At 55.2% G+C, this 19,291-nt stretch overlaps 1 protein-coding gene across 3 annotated transcripts in view, besides 3 other annotated features; it reads right to left on the reverse strand.

Annotated features, from left to right (window-relative positions):
* FAM178B (family with sequence similarity 178 member B) overlaps window positions 1–19,291 on the reverse strand; it is a 110,696-nt gene that overhangs the window by 7,126 nt on the left and 84,279 nt on the right. The window contains exons 1-2 of one of the 3 annotated variants that reach the window (NM_016490.5): window positions 14,904–15,123; window positions 10,916–11,041 (exon numbers count right to left, since the gene is read on the reverse strand). In NM_016490.5, the coding sequence (NP_057574.2) occupies window positions 10,916–11,011 (96 nt within the window). In that variant the 5' untranslated portion in view covers window positions 11,012–11,041; window positions 14,904–15,123. Of the gene's footprint in view, window positions 1–10,915; window positions 11,042–12,050; window positions 12,159–14,903; window positions 15,124–19,291 lie in introns of those variants that run through there. The other 2 variants (NM_001172667.2, NM_001122646.3) reach the window with 2 other exon arrangements.
* Window positions 4,592–5,147: an enhancer, noted in NCBI's record as "H3K4me1 hESC enhancer chr2:97553339-97553894 (GRCh37/hg19 assembly coordinates)". NCBI's record gives its function as "activates a minimal SCP1, AML or CMV promoter by ChIP-STARR-seq in primed H9 embryonic stem cells {active_cell/tissue: H9 hESC(primed)}" and the evidence as "EXISTENCE:reporter gene assay evidence [ECO:0000049][PMID:30033119]".
* Window positions 7,882–8,176: a silencer, noted in NCBI's record as "tiled region #12522; HepG2 Repressive non-DNase unmatched - State 20:ReprD". NCBI's record gives its function as "represses a minimal TATA promoter and a strong SV40 promoter by Sharpr-MPRA in HepG2 cells {active_cell/tissue: HepG2}" and the evidence as "EXISTENCE:reporter gene assay evidence [ECO:0000049][PMID:27701403]".
* Window positions 15,723–15,867: a silencer, noted in NCBI's record as "fragment chr2:97564470-97564614 (GRCh37/hg19 assembly coordinates)". NCBI's record gives its function as "represses an EF-1alpha promoter that drives an FKBP-Casp9 reporter gene in an ReSE screen in phorbol 12-myristate 13-acetate-treated (for megakaryocytic differentiation) K562 erythroleukemia cells {active_cell/tissue: K562(+PMA)}" and the evidence as "EXISTENCE:reporter gene assay evidence [ECO:0000049][PMID:32094911]".

Raw genomic sequence — 19,291 nt, forward strand, 5'->3', positions numbered from 1 at the left:
AGAGTCTGGTGGGCTGGCTCTTCTGAGAAGTTCCATGCAGGAATGCCTCACTCCTGGCTCTACAGCCTTCAAGGGGGCCGTGCCCTCCCCCTGGGGAAGGAATGACAAGGCTGAGTGACAGCAGACAGCAGACTGGGACTGTCACCAGAGGAAGGGAGGTCAGCATCTCCATGTTCTGGTCCAGCTAGTTCTGACCCCAGGCTCCCCCAGCCAAGACTCCCAAGTCAACTAGGAGCCATTAGCAGCGCTTTTGTCATAGACGAAAGGGAAAAAGGGTGGACATTTCCCAGGAACTTCATCCTTTAGAAAATTCCCCTCTAGCCAATGCCAAGGGAGCGGGCTGTGGCCTGGGCTATTTACGCTGAAGGGGGGCAGGAAAGGAGGACGGAGAGGCTCTCCCAGGAAGCCACTCGCTCTGGCCAGAACATATAACCTTTCTCCCCCATCAGGTCATGACCAAGAATCCAGTCTTAACCCCGGGCAAGTCTTCCCAAATCCAGCTCTCTCCTGGAGGCTGCCAGACCGGGTGGGGAAGGCAGACCTGTTTCTGGCAGGAGGACCCTGCGGGAGCAGGTCCAGCTAGGCTCTGGGGCAGCTACTGTGTGTGTGTTGGGGGGAGAACCAAGGCTGACCCAGGAACACCTGCTGGGAAGGACGAAGATGGACCCAAAGGGCACGGCTCTCCCAGCCAGGCTGCTGAGGCCCAGGGGCTCACCCCCAGCCGTCCCTGCCTCTCACTCAGGAAGCTGGCCCTGATGTCTGCTGGTGCTGGGATTCTGGCCTGGGGTACCAGGAGCCAGGGGGGGTCCTCTTGCTTTCTCCTTTCCATGCTCACAGCCCTAGCCTGGCTGGGCTGCTCTCAGCCCAATCTCGAGAGCCTAGAGGTCCAGCCCAGCCCAGGAGAAGCATTCTGCCTTGGTATCATCATTGCCACACACGAGTCCTCTCAGGACAGAGGTGTAAGCACACGGACTGAAGATCGACTCTAGAGCTAACGGAGTCTGGGAAAGGCTGAAGCTGTGCTGGTCTACCCTGGGCCCTTTCAGACCCGAGGCTGGGGCTGGGCCACAATCCTTTTTTTCCCTTTTTTGTGCAATTTAAACCTATATAGTACCACTTCACGGCATCCTGATCCAGTAGCGCACACAGAGAGGGCCTGGGACCCCGCCTTCAGCAGACATGGAAGCTGCGGCATGGGGAGGGTTCCTGATGTGCACGACCCTGTGTCCAGGAAGGGCAGGTCTGGCCCAAGAGCAGATGTCTGGGCTCTCAGCCTTCAGCAGGACAAGCTCCCCGGGTGTGCGTGGATGGTGGTGGGGTCTCTAAAGAGGATTCACACTGTGGACATCCCCCTTGGGAAACAGCAAGGGTCCACGGGCCTCCTATTGGAAGGATAGGGCGAGGCTGAGGCTGCTCCCCCAGGGTGGAGGAGGAAAGCCCTTTGCAGGCTGGGCCCCCGGGGCACGGTCTAGGTATCCACACAGGTTGGGCACAACAGCGATGAATCATGAGTAATCTGAGGTAGGGCTACTCAGGCCCCAGGCCAAGAGCCTCAGTCTGGGGAGGGAGACAGAGCTTAGGTGACTGGTGTGTCCACAGGACACCAGGCGAAAGGGGATGCATTTTCCTAGCTACGTGCCTTCTGAGCCCCAGCAGTGTGGCACTGGCCACCAGGACGAGGCTGCCATGTCTTCCCTGCCCCATGAGCAAACCGCACAACCTCTTCCCCTTGGCCAGGCAGCTTCTGCTCCAAGGTTGCACCTCTGAGCCTTGGCTTTGGCAGACACTAAAGAAGGAAGCAGAGGGCGGTATCGAAAGCTCTGTTCCCAAAGGCAAGCTGACTTGGGAAGTGACTCTGACCAGGACAGGTCGCCGGTCATAAGCCCTAGTGAGGAAGAAATGAAGACATATAACCGACCACTAGGAAATGAGGCGGGTGACCTAAGACCTCTTCCTAACCTAGGGTCCCAGAAGACACAGGGCCAAGAGGCCAGAGAGCAGACGTCTTAGCCAGAGAGCAGACGTCACTGGTGGGGCCTGCCAGGCAAGACACCCAATTCTGTCAAAGTGCCTGCTAGGGCAAGGGGTGGGGGTGACCCAAACACGGTCCCTAAACACGGAGCAGGGATGAGGCCCATTTAGGGTTAATGGGAGACAGGCTGGCAGCAGCTGGACAGGCAGGACTTCCGGCTCTGCTGCAGTGAATGGCCATTGAATGGAAGTTTGCTTTTGGGCCCTGCTGGGTAGAGAGGTGGGTGTCTCTTTCCAGGCTGCAGAGGACTCGGGGCCCAGCACGTGCCCACACCCTCCACGCCCTCAGAACAGGAGCTCTCACCTGCACCTCTGGCTTCCTGGAGAGTGAGTTCAGAGATCCGAGACCCTTCACAGCGGGGATCTCTTAAGTTCTATCTCTAGCTGGGGCCTGGGGCCTGGGCCCTGAGCAGCCCTGGCTCCTGCTCGTGGTACTGAGGACAGGGAGGGAATGTGGAGGCCATGGCGCATGGGGCTGGGGAGGGAAAGAGATGGAAGGCTGAGAGCTCCAGATTCCTGCAGACCTGCCGTGGGGAGGTTATCTCAGAGCGTCTCCCCATTCCTCCATCCGCCGGCTGGTGGCAGGAGCCAAGGCACTGGAGGCAAATCCTTGCTGGAGGGCGGAGGGCTCCCACCCAGTCCACCTTCCTCTCTGGCTTCCTGCTGGTGGGGGTCAGGGAGATGACAGGCAGGGATTGGCGGGGTCTTCCTGCTGCTCCAGCTGGGACCAGAGACCTTGACACCAGGGAGATGTGGACCAGAAAACCTAGCTCTGCAAGCTACCCAGAGAGGGACAAGATTCTCGGTGCCTATGTGTAAGAGTTCACGCCAGTACACGTATACATCAGTGCATATGTGTCAGTGTGCGTGTGAGCGTGTAGAGTGGAGGGGGTCACTGACACCAGCCAGGGCGTTGCATAACCACCTGACAGAGCAATGGTTTCCCCATGGCTTCCCCTTCTTGTCTCGCTTTTTCACTTACTGAATTGTCTCCGCGGTGTTGGCACGTCTGGCCAGAGCCTGGGACTGCCCTCCTCATCCTTCCCACCAACACCAGAGCACAAGGCCACTGCCCGTGACTGAACCACAGGGATGCTGCACACGTCCAGGGATCCTGTCCTTTCCCTTCCTTTGTAAGAGTGTCCCAGCCTCCTGTCCCCTACACTCAGACCAAACTGTTCCATGGTGGTGACTCCAGCCCTGACTCGAGGGGTGAACGTGTATCCCAGGCTGGCCATTCACTGTATGCTAGCTTGCCAATGTGACTGGCTTAGAGACGGGCACCTGACCCAAACCAAGCCAATGAGACGCCATTCTGGTTACGATTCGAGGGCCGAAGCTCTTTCTTGTCCAGGAAGAGTTAAAGGATGAGGAGACCCAGGTAGAGTGTTAGGTTAGAAGCTGAGTCACTTGCCTAGGGCTGCTGAGGGAAGGCTGTTGAGCCTGGAGGAGGGGAGAGCCTGCCTGGGAAGGCGCCAAGGGCCAGAGCCCGGAGGAGGAGGGTGTGACACTGAGGTTTTTTGACACTGTTTAGCCCTTGGGTCCCTCTAAGTCTGATGAACTGTCCCAGGGCTTTCCAGGATTTGTGTTTGTGTTTCCGTCACTAAAAACTCCTGGCAAAGACAGGGAAGAAGGGACAGAAAACGTGATGCGCAGAGAGCACTTGAGAAGGCCATGGTCGGCCTGGGAGCTGTTCCTGCAGACTGAGGATGGCGTGTAAGGGACCTTCCCCACTGTGCTTGGCCGTCTTCGGTGCACAGCTGGGAGCCTCAAACACTGCAGCCTTGAACTTCTGGGCTCAAGCCATCCTCCCGAGTAGCTAGGACCATAGGCGTATGCCACCGTGTCGTGTTAACACCAAACCTGGCTCATTTTTAAAAAAAAACCTTTTGGCCGGGCGCGGTGGCTCACGCCTGTAATCCCAGCACTTTGGGAGGCAGAGGCGGGCGGATCACGAGGTCAGGAGATCGAGACCATCCTGGTTAACATGGTGAAACCCCATCTCTACTAAAAATACAAAAAAATTAGCCAGGCGTGGTGGTGGGCGCCTGTAGTTCCAGCTACTCGGGAGGTTGAGGCAGGAGAATGGCGTGAATCCAGGAGGCGGAGCTTGTAGTGAGCCAAGATCATGCCACTGCACTCCAGCCTGGGCAACACAGCGAGACTCTATCTCAAACAACAACAACAACAACAACAACAAACCGTTTGCAGAAATAAGGTCTCGCTATGTTGTGCAGGGTGGTCTATGAACACCTAGCTTCAGATGATCCTCCTGCCTCAACCTCTGAAAGTGCTGAAATTACAGGCTTGAGCCACTGTATCTAGACAGGGTGAGGCATTTCAGGGGGAGCCATGGGGGTTGTGCCTGAGGTGAGACTCTGGATTGACCCTAAAAGGTAGCTGTTCAAGTATGTGAAGCAAGATGTAAACAAGCCACGGGTTGAGCCATGCCCGTAGCAATCCAAGGACGGGAGAGACAGTCTGGGCTCCGCAGGAAGGAGGGACAGCAGGAGCAAAGACGCGGCGTTGAGAACAGAGCGTTTCTGGGAGAGCATCACTGCTTGGATTCAAATGTCGCAGTGTGATGTGCAGCAGTGAAGCCATGCATTGGGCCAGCTGGCGGAGGCTCTGGATTGCAGTTTCATACGATGTGACAGGCACTAGAGTCTATTTTCCTAACTCAGAACGAGAAGAAGATAATCCACAGCGTTGTCCAGGAAGAGTTAAAGGATGAGGAGACCCAGGTAGAGTGTTAGGTTGGAAGCTGATGAGTCACTTGCCTAGGGAGAGAGGCCCCGAAGGGTCTCCGGGAGGACTGGGCCTGGGTGGGGTGGGGCAGGGAGCAGGCCCGGGTGCTGCCAAGGCCCTGAGCAAAAGCTGGCTGAAGAATGCAAGCCTGCCTCCGCAGCTTAACTCTCTCACTTCAAGCCTGCCTCCGCAGCTTAACTCTCTCACTTCAAGCCTGCTCGTACACTTGCAAAGAAACCAGAATTTCTGGGACCCAAACAAAGCTGGCCTGAGCCTGGGCCCTGCCTGGCTTTGGGATGCCCAGAAGTACTGGCCTGTCCCCAGATCTGTAGAGGTCCCCCTCTCCTGGAGGGTCAGCTTCCCAGAGGCCATCTCTTTGAGGTTTATTTTTAAAGATGTCTGATGTTCTGTACTTTGGAGGAAGTAAGACAGAACCAACCACAGATTAGACAGGAGAGGAACTCACAAGTTCTGAATATCCATTTTCTGTTCCTCAAAACCAGTCGGTTTCCTCCCAGCCCTCCTGACCTTGGCCTGACCAAGGTCCCCAGCCCAGTGGGGCAGTAAGGAAGAGACAGACACTTCCAGGTGGGAAGGCAGAGAGCATGGCGAGAATGGAGAAAGAGGCTCCACCTGCCTTTCAGGGGGACAGAGGGTAAGTGGCCTGTGCCCAGGGGAACACATGTCCCATTGCTGGAGTTGAGCATGCCAGCAAGAGAGGGCAGAGGCAAGCACACAGCTGCCAGAGGGCAGCGGCCCCCTCCCTGCCTAGCCCTGCAGTGAGAGCCAGGCCTTTCTCCACAACCTCCCATTAAGGCGGCCCTTGGCAGGGTCACCCAGCACAGGGACAGACAACTGCAGTTACAGCAGCGGGAGCGAAGCAGTAAAACTTGTTTGCCAACTCTATCAACACACGCGGCACACCACAAGGATATACAGGAGATGTGCACAGCACGCACTTATGCACAAACACACAGCAGAGGCCACACCCTCTGCAGAACATGAGCAGAGCTACTCAGAATGAGCATGAACGCAGTGGAGTTGGCACAGCTGGGCTGAGTTTATCCCAGAGCATCACCCAATCCCTGGAGCACACCCCCCCTCCCCGCCAACAACTCCATTCTGTACAAATGCACTTCTCCAATAAACAAGCCACACATCCCCAGGCCTCAGGAGCATGAGCTGGGGACCTTAAGTGGTGTGCACCTCGAGAAAGCTGACTAGAGCCACTCGCGCTCAGTCGGGGGCCTTGATCTGGGTGGTGCCCCCGCAGGGACCATAACAGGTGCAGAACCCACAGACTGCCCCTTAGCTGTTATCCACTGGGGACATCATCTGGCTGGGAGGAGGACATGCCCAGAGGGCAGCTGGGGAGATGGGGACCAGGCTCCTGGTGCCTGACTCTGCCCCAGCTCTGGGACCATCCCCCTTTGTGGTCCTTAGTTTCTTTCCATACAATGGGAAATAATTAACAACTTCACAGTCCCCAAATTTAACCAACCGGGAGAAAAACTTCCATCCCACCATAAAGATCCTTGTACTATATGCCTCCCAAATCCCTAAGGGGAAAAACAGAATTAAAAAACCTCATCAATAGAACATCAGTAGGCCCGGTGCGGTGGCTCATACCTGTAATTCCAGCACTGTGGGAGGCCGAGGCAGGTGGATCACCTGAGGTCAGGAGTTTGAGACCAGCCCGGCCAACATGGTGAAACCCCATCTCTACAAAAATACAAAAATTAGCCGGGCATGATGGTGGGCACCTGTAATCTCAGCTACTTGGAAGGCTGAGGCAGGAGAATCGCTTGAACCTGGGAGGCAGAAGTTGCAGTGAACCAAGATTGTGCCATTGCACTCCAGCCTGGGTGACAGAGCAAGACTCTGTCTCAAATAAATAAATAAATAAATAAATAAATAAATAAATAAATAAATACAAAAAAAAATAGAGCATCAGTAGAGCAAAAAGAAAAGCAAGAAATGATAAGGAAGTGTGGTAACGAGGAGTATAATATGCAATAGCAGGTTTTGACAGCCAAAATATCAATAATCTCGATGGAATTGAATTGGGGCCCGTTGAGATGGCTCATGCCTGTAATCCCAGCACTTTGGGAGGCTGAGGTGGGAGGACTGCTTGAGCTCAGGAGTTTGTGACCAGCCTGGGCAACGTGACAAAACCCCATCTTTATTAAAAAAAAAAAAAAATTGGCTGGGCGTGGTGGCTCACACCTGTAATCCTAGCACTTTGGGAGGCCGAGGTGGGCAGATCACCTGAGGTCATGAGTTCGAGACCAGCCTGGCCAACATGGCAAAACCCGTCTCTACTAAAAATACAAAAATTAGCCAGGCATGGTGGCACGCGCCTGTAATCCCAGCTACTTGGGAGTCTCAGGCACGAGAATCGCTTGAACCTGGGAGGTGGAGGTTGCAGTGAGCCGAGATCCAGTCAGTCACTGCACTCCAGCCTAGGCGACAGAGCAAGACTCCGTCTCAATCAATCAATCAATCAAGCAATATAAATAAATAAATAATTAGCCCGGTGTGGTAGCATGTGCCTGTCCCAGCTACTTGGGACGCTGAGGTAGGAGGATCTATTGAGCCTGAGAAGGCGAGGCTGCAGTGAGCCTTGATGGCGCCACTGCATTCCAGCCTGAGCAATAGAGTGAGACAGGCCCTGTTTAAAAAAAAGAGTGAATAGGCCATGACCTCCATGACCCTGAGCCCTGAGGCTGGATAGAACACACCAGAAAACATCTGGCCAGATATGGTTTATACAAGTCAGCTACGAGGAAATAAACTGCCCCAAGAAGACCCTGGTTCTGGGTTGGTGGGCTCAGGTGGTAGCTTGGAGAGACAGTGGCAAATTGAGTCAAGTTATGCAATGTTTTTCTGCCTGCGGCCAAAAGAACAGTCTCCCTTGATTGCCTGGGAAGGCAACTGGGGCGAATTGGTATCCATGGGCCAAAGGGAGTACTTAGAGGCCAACTCTAAGTATTAAACTCTCCTGTGTTAACTCTCCCACAGGAAAACACCCTCTACCACTGTCAGCCAAATAAGCCCTCTGCCTCTCACATGGCTGTACCAGACCCCCAAGCATCACTCCAAACCAGATGTTTACTCTTCTCTGAGAATAAAGCCCAGATCAAACCAGGCATGCACAGGGCCATAGATAACCAAAAGCGGCTCAGCTTTGTTTTCTTTATCCAGAAGCTCTTCAAAATGCTAAAAACGTTATCAGCTCACTAAGCGGGATAGTCCACAGAAGCTCTTATAGTCCATATAAGCTCTGCCTGCTCAGCTAGGACTGTGGTCAAAGCCAGGACACACGGCCAGTGCAGGCATCTATGTTGCCCCTGATTCACTCCAGTTCCTGACCCCCATGCACAGCTGCAGCAGGAGCTCATGGCTTCCTTTGCTGAAGTACTTGGTGCTTTCCCAGGCAGGACCTCACTAGCTTATAATTACAAACGATGTGCTGGGATTGGTTCTGCCACATGCAGGTAATACTTCTTTAGTCCAGAGCCTCCTGCAGGAGAAGGCCAGGCTATAAGCTCTTGTGGCCTTAATGATACAAAGACCTTAAGAGACAAGGGGACCACGATGCAGAGGCTGGTCAGATGGCACACAGGAGGCAGCAGGTTTCCAGAATGGGGGCAGGAGAGCGAACAGCGAATGCCAGAACAGAATGGAAGAAGGGAGTTCAGAGAAGGACAAAGGAATTAAAACTGGATTCATTCGTTCACCTAGTGCCAAATGTGGGACGCAGTGCTAGAGACACTGCATGTGCCCACAGTCTAGCTGGACAGGGGGCAAGCAAAGGGACAACTTTACTTGCCAAGGGATCAGTGAGGAGAGAAAGTTGTGCCCTGGACACCAACAGCAGCTCTCTCAGCCTCTTCCCAGAGGGAGAGGCTGGGCCAAGGCCTGAGGCAGCCAGAGGAGGTGGGGAAGGAGCTGGGCAGAAGTGTTTATTTGCAGGGCTGGAGGAGGGCTGTGACCCAGCCGCACAGGGCAGGAAATCTCCCAGACAGGAGTGAGAGGGCCTGGGGGATGGGTAGGCGTCAAAAGGCAGAGGCTCAGCTCAGCAGCCCCAACGCTGGGAAAGTAGGCATTTCCTCCAGGCTGGGCCGCCTCAGGTCAACCCTACTCTGGCCTCAGTTTCCCCATGGCACTGAAGGGAAACGAAAAGGCAAAGACTTTGAGCTCTGGGGATGAAAGGCTCAGCCACGGCTCAGACCACCACTCCTTATAAAACAGGGTGGATGCCGCCGCTGTTGTTTTTGGCTGGTGAGTGGCCCATCTAACCTCTTTGAAGATGAAACATGCTGAGGCCTAATGAGGAGTCATCCGGCCGGGGTGGGAGTGGAGCCCAGTCACCTGCCCCACCTGGCCCCTCCCAGTCAGAACAGTGCCCAGCCCAGGGGACAGAACCCAGCCCAGGGGCCTGTTTCACACTTCTGTGCCCATGTACCCTCCTTGGCCTGGGGCTCCCTCACTCAGAGGCAGAGGTGTAGGGGAGCGCAGCAGAGGGGGTCTAAGGTGGTCTCGGGCTGCAGTGAAGGCTTCTGAGAGCTGCCTGGGACTCGCCTGCCTCTCCACTGCCCTGGACCAGTGCACCCTACCCCTTTGGGGCTCTGCCGAGCTGCACGGTGCCTCCATGTTTTCAGGCCAAACAGGTCATTTCCAATATGGCGGCCAACCAGGGGGAGGCTTTCAAACCTCCTTTAGGTGTGTGAGAATAGTCCTCTAAAGAAAAGGCATCCTCAGCCTGCTCACTGTCCCTCTTCCCCAGCTGTTGAAAGAATGTCTTCTGCCACCTGGATAGCCTCTGTACCAGAGTGAGCCTGGCAGGAATCACACCTCTGCTAGGTGAGGCCCAGGACTGGCCCCCAAGGTGCCTGCAGGCCACACTCTCCGCTTAGCCAGACCAGACGTGACACTCTTTCCTCTCTCTCACCACTCGCCTTCTTGTTCCTTGCTCCCTGCCCAGGCCTCCCTGAGTTCTGTTTAGACAGACCACCCCAGGACTGACCCCCACCTCCTCTCTAGAGGCCCCATAACCAGCCCATAACCAGCTCCAGTTTCTGGGGAAATACTTGGCACAAGAGAAGGGGCATGCAGACAGCTCACGCTCTCCTGGGAGGCAGCAGCCTCATAAACGCACTAATATTAGGCACAACTGAAAGACAACCTTCCCCACATGTTCCAGAAGAGGAGCGTGCACCTGGGGATTAGCATATCTCTTTAATGGTTCATTTGTGTTCATTAAGTAATTAATTCATTTATCTGATTTGCAGAGTGATGCCCAAAGGTTGGACTTCTGTATCAACATCCAGCCTCCGAGTGAGTTTCTGGAATTACCATCTTCCCCAATTATAACGATCCCTATCTCCATTCTTCATTCCCGAGTCCCCAGGGGCAGCAGAGTACATCGAGGTTTAAGCCCTGCTCCCCAGGAAGCTGAGCCCGGGATGCCCACTCTGCAGCCCTCACACCCACCACATCCCTGCTCTGACATTCACCCAGGGACTCATAGGCCTCACTGTTCCAAACTCCACAACCTGCAGGCCCTGGGGCACCTTGTTGCTCCTGACTCCCACCAGAACTTGGCTTTCAGGAAAGCTGGGCAATGTCTGGAAAGTCAATTAGGAAGAACTGGGGACAGGCCAAGGACTCAGACTCAGTGACAACCACAGTGAAAATGAACAGGGAGGCTGGGCCCAGCTCTGCCTACAGAAGAAGGGATGCCCTGCACGTCGAGACAACCCTGCGCTTATCCTGATGTGCTCCCATCCCCTCCCTGGCATCCAGCTCCTGCATCCTCCCTAAACCATGCTGTAAGGCTGACAACCCCAGATCAACAAAAGGCACACAAGCAGGGACAGGCAGACATTTGGCCCCTACACCTGCGCACAGGGCGTCCCCAGCGCCTGCGGCACGGGTAACAGCACTAATTACAGGTGAGATGCTGAGCACCTCTGCTCAACACAGGGAGGCAGCCTGTTGGTCTCTGCCCTGGCATGGCCCTGGGGTTCTGGAAGGACCCGCAGGCCATGCAATGTGGACAGCCCTGCCTTTCCCTGCTACCTGTGGTGGTGGCACCGTGGTGGAGGCAGGCGGGTGCTGGGTGCTCACTCACCTTGTGGTCTAGCTCGGCACTAGCCTTTGGCTGTTGCTCCTGGCAGGGTGGCAAGGGCACAGAGTCCAGGTATTGCCTGAGAGATGATGGCCTCATGAGGCCCAGGAGCCGGCTGAGCGAGGACAGCTGGGGAGGAGAAGGGAGGCTGTCACTCACAGAGGGTGGTGGCCAAGAGCTCAGGGTGCTCCCGGGAATCGGCCTGGACACCTCAGCTGGTGGCAGTGTGTTAGGGCACTGGCTTCTGAGACACAGACCCACCTCTACCTTATGAACTGTGGCCTCTCGGATCCTGAGTGTTCTCATCTGTAAAATGGATCACACATACTTCCCAGGAGAGGAGGGGTACCCAAACATACCCAGCTCCCCCACGCCCCACCCACACACACACAGACCCACACACACTCTTCCCCCCACAGACCTGACACCCACCCACTCACCCACCCACTCATCCTCCCCACACCCACACATACCCAGGCCTCCCACCCCCCACCCACTCACCCACGTACACACAGACCCACATCCACACCTACTCACCCCCTCCACAGACCCCACATCCACACCCACCCATTCACCCACCCACCCACATACACACAGACCCCCCCACACATACCCACTCATATCCCCAGACCCCCACACACCCCCACCCACATCCACCTACCCACTCACCCACATACAGACCTACATACACACCCACTCACCCCCCCACAGACCCCCCACCCACAGATCCCCACCCACACCCCCCTACAGACCCCCACACACCCCCACCCCCATCTACCTACCCACTCACTGACATACACAGACCTACATACACACCCACTCACCCCCCCCACAGACCCCCTACCCATAGATCCCCACCCACGCCCACTCACACACACACTCACCCACATACACAGACCCCCTATACACCCCCACCCACTCATCCCCCCACACAGACCCCCACCCACACCCACCCAGTCATCCCCCCCACAGACCCTCACCCACACTCACCCACACCCATCCCCACCCCCTGCACTGCCGCTCTGCATCTGTGGGCCCACCCTCCCTTGCATCCCTCTCTTTTGGTTTAACTCTTCTCTGTGGAGGTTTGGAACACCATGAAGAGAGACCATGGACTAAGTCCCCAACAGTCCATCACCATGAGCAAGACCACCATCATCTTCATTCCGCCTGGCCTGTGTCTTCAGCCCCTGCCTTCCACTCCCCTTCCCGCTCTTTTCCTTCCAGGGGATTTTAAAGCAAATACATCGTATCGTTTTACCCATAAAGAGCTTCTACAGAAAAGATAAGGATTTCCCCCCAATCTAATCATAATACCATTTCTTTCCTAACAGAATCAACGAGACTTCCTTATCATCATCCAACACCTGTGTTCAGTTTTCTCTGTCTCTAAAATGTCCTCCAACAGTTGGTCTGTTTGAAGGGAGATTCAACACAAGGCCCACACACTGCTTTTGGCTGACTATGGCACCTAAGCTATTAGCCGCCCCAGCCCCCATTTAGTTTTTGAATAAACTGCCCAACCTCTCTGAACCCCTCTGGAGGGAATGTGACCTGCGTAAGTCCAGGTGTCTACAGTTAGCCGCTCCTTCTGGCCCAGTGCATGCACTTGATTCGGGTAGCCTGGGCCCAGCCCCAGCAAGGACTGCCCAGCTGCCCTGAAGCTAACTCTTGGCTGGGGCAGAGGCAGGCAGGCTCCCAGCCCTTGGCCTCTGTGAGGCCACAGCAGCCCTGGGGGCAGGGCGGGGAGTAAGTGGGAGCAGATCCAGGGTAGTTCACAAAAGCACCATCTCTTTAGATGGCACAGAAGCAGGGTGGCCATGGGCTAGGGGCTTGAGCCCTGCAGCCCAGCCCCCCTCTTGAGCTTAGCCTGGCTGGCACACCTGGCTTCCTCCGGTGACTCACCTACCACCTGCTCAGCACATCAGCCGGTTATGGGCTGAGACAGCCCACAAGAGCAGCTGGGCTGGGGGCTAGGAGTCAGGCCCAGGGCCTCAGCTTCTGGGAGGCGGCCAGGGCTTCTCAGCCTAGTTTCTGATCCTTTTGGGAGGGGGGAGGAAGGTTCTGGGCGAAGGGAGGCACCATCTGGGGCTTCACCCAAACCATGGCTGTGCCACCTTCCTCAGGCTTCACAAGTCAAGATAGTTTCCAGAACAGTTCTGCCCACTCAGGGCTCACAGCTGTGCAAGCATAGGGTCAGGCTCTGCAGCCCACACCCCCAGCGTGGCCTTTGGGCAGGCCTCGCCCAGCCGGGACCCTCCCTGCTACGGGAGGCCTGGGTGGGGCTGGGCAGGGGCGCACAGGACAGCACTCTTGCGATGCTTGCTCTTGTGTTTTTCCTCTCACTCATGAAAACAGCTTGGCTGTGCTCAGTGCAGCAAGCTGCTGCCCCTGCGATCTGCCTGTGCCGTTGTGCCTTCCGATTGTTTATTCCCTTTTGTTTCCATCTCTGGATGCTCCAGCCAGCCTCTCCCCCACACACAAACCCCTCTCCAGGATAAGGGGTTGTTTGGGCCTTGCAGGAACCAGCGGGGATGGGCCAGACCAGAACTCTCCCTACACCGACATCACTGCTGGCAGCTGGCTCTACAAACACTCGGCCGCTTAGGGCAGACACCTAGGGCGAGAAGCAATGATCCCTCAGGAAGACAGGCCTCCACCAGCCTTCTCAGAGGCAGGGAAGAGGTGGTGGAGGCTGATTTCCAGAGAAGCAACTGGCCACACAGCATGTTGCTCCTGGGTGCAAATCCTGGCTTCCTCCTCACCTAGGACAGGAAGCCAAGATCTTAAGTGTCTGCAAAGACCCAACGACCTGCCTGCTGCTTCCTGGAGCTGGTGCCCTGCCTGGGCCTTCTGACCAGACAGCACCTGCCTCTCTCTTCCTTCCAGCCGTTGCTCCACACCCACCTTCTCAGTGAGGCCCACCTGCCCAAGTTCCCATCTGTCTGCCTATCTATCTATCTAAACAGAATCTTGCTCCGTCCCCCAGGCTGGAGTGCAGTGGCACAATCTCTGCTCTCTGCAACCTCCACCTCCTGGGCTCAAGCAATTCTCCTGCCTCAGTCTCCCGAGTAGCTGGGATTACAGGCGGCCACCACCACGTCCAGCTAATTTTTGTATTTTTAGTAGAGACAGGGTTTCACCATGTTGGCCAGGCTGGTCTCGAACTCCTGACCTCAAGTGATCCACCCACCTTGGCCTCCCAAAGCGCTGGGATTAGAGGAGTGAGCCACAGCGCTTGGCCCCTTTGCAATTTACTTGCTTTTTATCACCTATTCCCCCCCACTCCCTGGAATGTAAACTCTCTGAGGGCAGTTTTTTCACTGCAGAGTCCCCAGAACCTAGCACCGTGCCTGGCACATGGTACATGTCTAGTAAGTATCTGTCAAATGAACAAATGATTGAATGAATAAATGAACAGTCAAGACTGCAGCTAACATTTTCTGAGTAGATGCAAACCTTTATCCCCGATTTGAGCCACCCGAAGCCCACGTTTTCCAAATCCCAAACTGGAAGACACACTTTGACAAGAGGTTTACTGTGTTGCAAGAAGTGCCCCAGGATAAGAAGCAAACTCCTGATTTCCTCCCCAAACCTGCTCCAGCTGCGTCTTGCCTAGGGTAGGCAAAGGGCGTCTCCATCCCGCCTGTTGCACTGACCTAGAGTCCTTGTCTCTGTTCTCTTGCATCGCACATCCCACTGTCTGTACTTGGGAAATGCACCTACAACCTGACCACTTCTCACCGCCCACGCTGCTGTTTCTCCAGGCCAAACCACTGTCATCTCTTGCCAGGATTACTGCAATCACCTCCTTCCTCTCCACTCCCAGTAATCTCTTCTCAACACAGCAGGCAGAGTAATTTTTAAACGTTGTATAAATCAGATTTTGTTTCTTCTCTGCCCAAATCCTTGCAGGGGCTCCCCACTTCTGCGCAGAAGTCAAAACCCTCACCGTAGCCTTGAGGCTCTGGCTAACTGAGCCTCCACTTGCCTGTGTGACCTCAATGCTGTAAGTCCTGTCCTTCAAGTTCAGTTCTCCAACGTGTGCTTCTGCTCCTGCTCCATGGGGCCTCCGCTGCAGCTTGTGGGAGATACAGAGCCCAGCAGCTTGGCCATCAGGGACTCCTGCCCAGCAGTGCCCTGCAAATTGCTGTGCCCAGATCCAGCCCCAGGTCCTCTGCTCCTACACCAGTCAATTCTAAACCCCTGTGCCCCCTTTTACAGTGAATCGATTGATAGGATTTCTCCAGCACTTGTGCACTGATGAGGAAAGGGAGGGACGGCCCTTGTCCTCCTGTCTGTGAACCGGGACTAAAGCCCAAGGACCCAGCAGGGCACTTCACCATGAAGTGGCGGGTGTGGTCCAGGATGTCCAGAGGCAAGGAGAGAGCTGGACAGGCTAAGGCGGTGCCCTGCAGTGGTCAAGGGCAGGACTTTAATCTCAGCTCTAGGCGGGGTACAGTGGCTTATGCCTGTAATCTCAGCACTTTGGGAGGCTAAGGCAAGAGGATCACTTGAGCCCAGGAGTTTGTGACCACCCTTGTCAACATGGCGAAACCCTGCCGCTAAAAAAATACAAAAATTAGCCAGGTGTGGTGGTGCACGCCCATAGTCCCAGCTACTCGGGAGGCTGAGGTGGGAGGATCACCTGAGCCAGGGAGGTTGGGGCTGCAGTGAGTCGTGATCACACCACTGCACTCCAGCCTGGGAAAGTGAGACCCTGCCTCAAAAATAAAATAATCCCGGCTGTACCACTTCCCTGTTGGGTGACCCTGGAAAGTTCCCCTATCTGTAAAATATGGATGACAGTAAGTCTGAGGGCCTTGGGCTGCTAGGAGGGGCGAGCACTGAGGACAGCAGCCAGGACACAGCTGTGCTGTTGTACATGGGAGCTGCCACTACTGCGGGTCGGGGGTGACAGGTGGAAAGGAAGAAGAGGCCCAGACACAGCAAAAGCTGTGTGCAGAGGGCAGGCAGGGCCTGTGAGGAGGCCCGATGAGAACATGCAGCACTGGCAAGCCCCGTGGAGGAGACATTGGGAAAGGGGCATGTGGGCTGAGTGGGTGGCTGTGGGGACGAGGTGGCCCTTTGAAGGAGTGTTTCAGGAAGGTCTGACAGGCCAGACTGGAAAGGGGAGTGCCTGGCAGCCTGAAGACCTGGGAGGAGGCTGTGAGCAGCCCTGGGCTTGCAGTGGAGATGGGGAAGGAGCTCCAGGAAGGCCATGGGCAGGCCCCTGCCAGTCCTTCCTATCCCTCCAGTCGCCATGAATCTCTCACTCCCTTTCTCCTTTTTGCAGTACAAGCACTGACTCAGCCTCCAAGACCTGGCTCAGGGCATCTTCTCTAGCAGCTGCCGCACTGTGCCTGGACAGAGTTAGTCACTATGGCCGTGGCCGACTTGCTCACCCCTCTCTTCTGAGGTCATCTGGTGCTGTCTCCCCAGTGCCAGTACCTGGCACAGAGCCTGGCACTCAGGTTGCTCAGCTAGTGTCTAATAAACACATGGGTGCATGGTGGGCATGCAGCAAGTGGGCTGGACCTGGCTTGGCCCTGACAGGCTGCAAGACCCTGGCCCCTGGGGAGCCTGGGAGACCTGCCTGGCCAGGATCTCTCAAGGGGAGGCAGCGCCACTCCATGTACTTTAAAAAAAAAAGAAAAAAAAAAGCGGGTCTTGCTCTGTCGCCCAGGCTGGAGTGCAGTGGAGCCGTCATGGCTCACTGCAGCCTTGACCTCCAGAGCTTAAGCCATCTTCCCACATCAGCATCCCCACCCCAAGTAGCTGGAACTAGAGGCACATGCCACCATGTCCAGCTAATTATTTTACTTTTTGTAAAGAACTCCAGGGCTCAAATGATTTTCCCACCTCAGCCTCTCAAAGTGCTGAGATTACAGGCCAGAGACACTGCCTCCCGCGCCCCCATTCCCCACTCTTTTTTTTTTTTTTTTTTTTTTTTAAGAGAAGGTGTCTGGCTCTGTTGCCCAGGCTGCAGTGCGGTGGTGTGATTATAGCTCGCTGTAGCCTCCAACTCCTGGGCCCAACGACCCAGCCCTTCCTCCATGACACTTCCCCTCTGCCACTCTGACCTCCACCAGGAAGGCAGCCCCACCAAGCTCTCCTCACTCTATGCACAGCTGCTGGCCAAGAAAAAACAAAATGAAGCAAAATGCCAAGCCTTGAACTGGCTCTAACTCTCTCTCTGGCCACCTGTGTCGCGCCCCCTCTGGCCTCCACTCTGCGCTGGGCCTGTCCGTCAGCCTGCATCCCAGAGCCCTCCCAGGCACCCCATCTTGTGCTCCCCCCTGCCTCTAACTGCTGGCTGTTCCCAGCAACACCGCTGGGTCCCTCTGTTCTTCCTTCCTCACAGAGACCATCTATGAAGTAACCTCAGCACCGGTCACCTCCTCACTGCCCCTCCCAAGGTCTCAGCTGGGGCACGTTCTCCCCATGCACCCCGACGACCCACCTGGGTGCCTGTCCCTTCCACAAGCGTGCACTGCCTTCCCGGGGTGTGCCAGGCACCGCCAGGTGCCGAGGGGCAGCAGGGGCCAGAAACTACGTGTTCCCTGTTCTTCAGGGGCTTATTTTCTGCTTGGGGGTAGGGGATGGAAAACACAGATGCTGAGCAAACAAATAGGAAAAGATCAGGGGGTGGCCACCAGGAGTGACTTAGGACAAGATGACAGCCAGTGCTGGGGCACTCTGGATTGGGTGGTCAGGAAGGCCCCTTGCAGAGGTGACATTTTGGCTGGAGTGGGAATGACAAGAAGCTCCAGTTCTACTAAGGCCTGGGGGAAGCATTCAAGGCAAAGGAGGCATCTGAGGCAAAAGCCAGGCCGAAGCCGCTCAGACAACCCAACCCCACCGGTCACCTCTCTGAACTCCCTCCTTGCAGTCACAGCACCTGGGACTCAGACATATGGTCCACCTCACCCAGGGATGTGCTGGAACATTGTCTCAGCCCTCTGGGCAAGGGGTTATGCTGCCTCAGTGGCTAGAGATGCACAGCCTCTAGCCAGAGCACCCCTAGTGTAGCTGAGCTGGAAGGGTCAGTTGTACCCAGCAGCTCTTCTCCCAGGATTCCAGGAAGATTACTGCGGAGGTGCGGGCGCGCTCAACCTCCCTTCCATCCATCCTTGGGCTGCCAGTGACCCCTTCATCACCCCGTGAAGTGACGTCCTCTGAGCTGCCAGGAGCCTGCAGTCAGAGCTTTTTGGAGAGAAGAGGAACAGGACAGGAAGGCTGAATTCTTTTTTCTTTTTTTTTTTTTTTTTTTAGAGTCTTGCCCTGTCGCCCAGGCTGGAGTGCAGTGGCGCGATCTCGGCTCACTGCAACCTCCGCCTCCCAGGTTCAAGCAATTCTCCTGTCTCAGTCTCCCGAGTAGCTGGGATTACAGGCGCCTGCCAGCATGCCCGGCTAATTTTTTGTTTTTTTAGTAGAGACGGGGTTTCACCATGTTGGTCGGGCTGGTCTCGAACTCCTGACCTCAAGTGATCCGCCCACCTCGGCCTCCCAAAGTGCTGGGATTACAGGCGTGAGCCACCACGCCCGGCTCAGAAGGCCGACCTCTTAATGCCCTTGCTGCCCCAACAATACCTAACCCTGGGGACTGAGGGGACACCAGAGGGAGTAGTTTTAATTTAATAGTATTTGTTTTCATCTTTACAAACAGTATTTGTTTTTATGCTTTACTATAAAAAATAAACAACAACAAAAAAATGGGCTGTGGGCACTGTTGGGGGGTTGTGTTTAATGAGTGTGGAGTTTCAGTTTGGGAAGTTGAAAGAGTTATGGAGATGGATGGTGGTGATGGCTGCACAACACTGTGAATGAACTTAAGGTCCCTGAATTGTACACTTAGAAATGGCTGAAACACTATGCTTAAGAATGGTTAAGATGATTACAAAAAAATTAAATAAATGAATTTAATTCATTTATTTGAATTAAATGCTCACTGCAACCTCTGCCTCCTGGGTTCAAGAAATTCTCTGCCTCAACCTCCCAAGTAGCTGAGATTACAGGTGCCCGCCACCATGCCCAGCTAGTTTTTGTATTTTTAGTAGAGACAAGGGTTTCACCACATTGGCCAGGCTGGTCTCAAACTCCTGATCTCAGGCGATCCCGCCCACCTCAGCCTCCCAAAGTGCTGGGATTATAGGTGTGAGCTACCACACCCAGCTTTTACTACAATTTTTTTTTTTTTTGAGATGGAGTCTCGCTCTGTCGCCCAGGCTGGAGTGCAGTGGCGCGATCTTGGCTCACTGCAAGCTCCACCTCCCAGGTTCACGCCATTCTCCTGCCTCAGCCTCCCGAGTAGCTGGGACTACAGGCACCCGCCACCACACCTGGCTAATTTTTTGTATTTTTAGTGGAGACGGGTTT

Source organism: Homo sapiens, chromosome 2, assembly GCF_000001405.40.
Source record: "Homo sapiens chromosome 2, GRCh38.p14 Primary Assembly".
Taxonomy (NCBI): domain Eukaryota; kingdom Metazoa; phylum Chordata; class Mammalia; order Primates; family Hominidae; genus Homo; species Homo sapiens.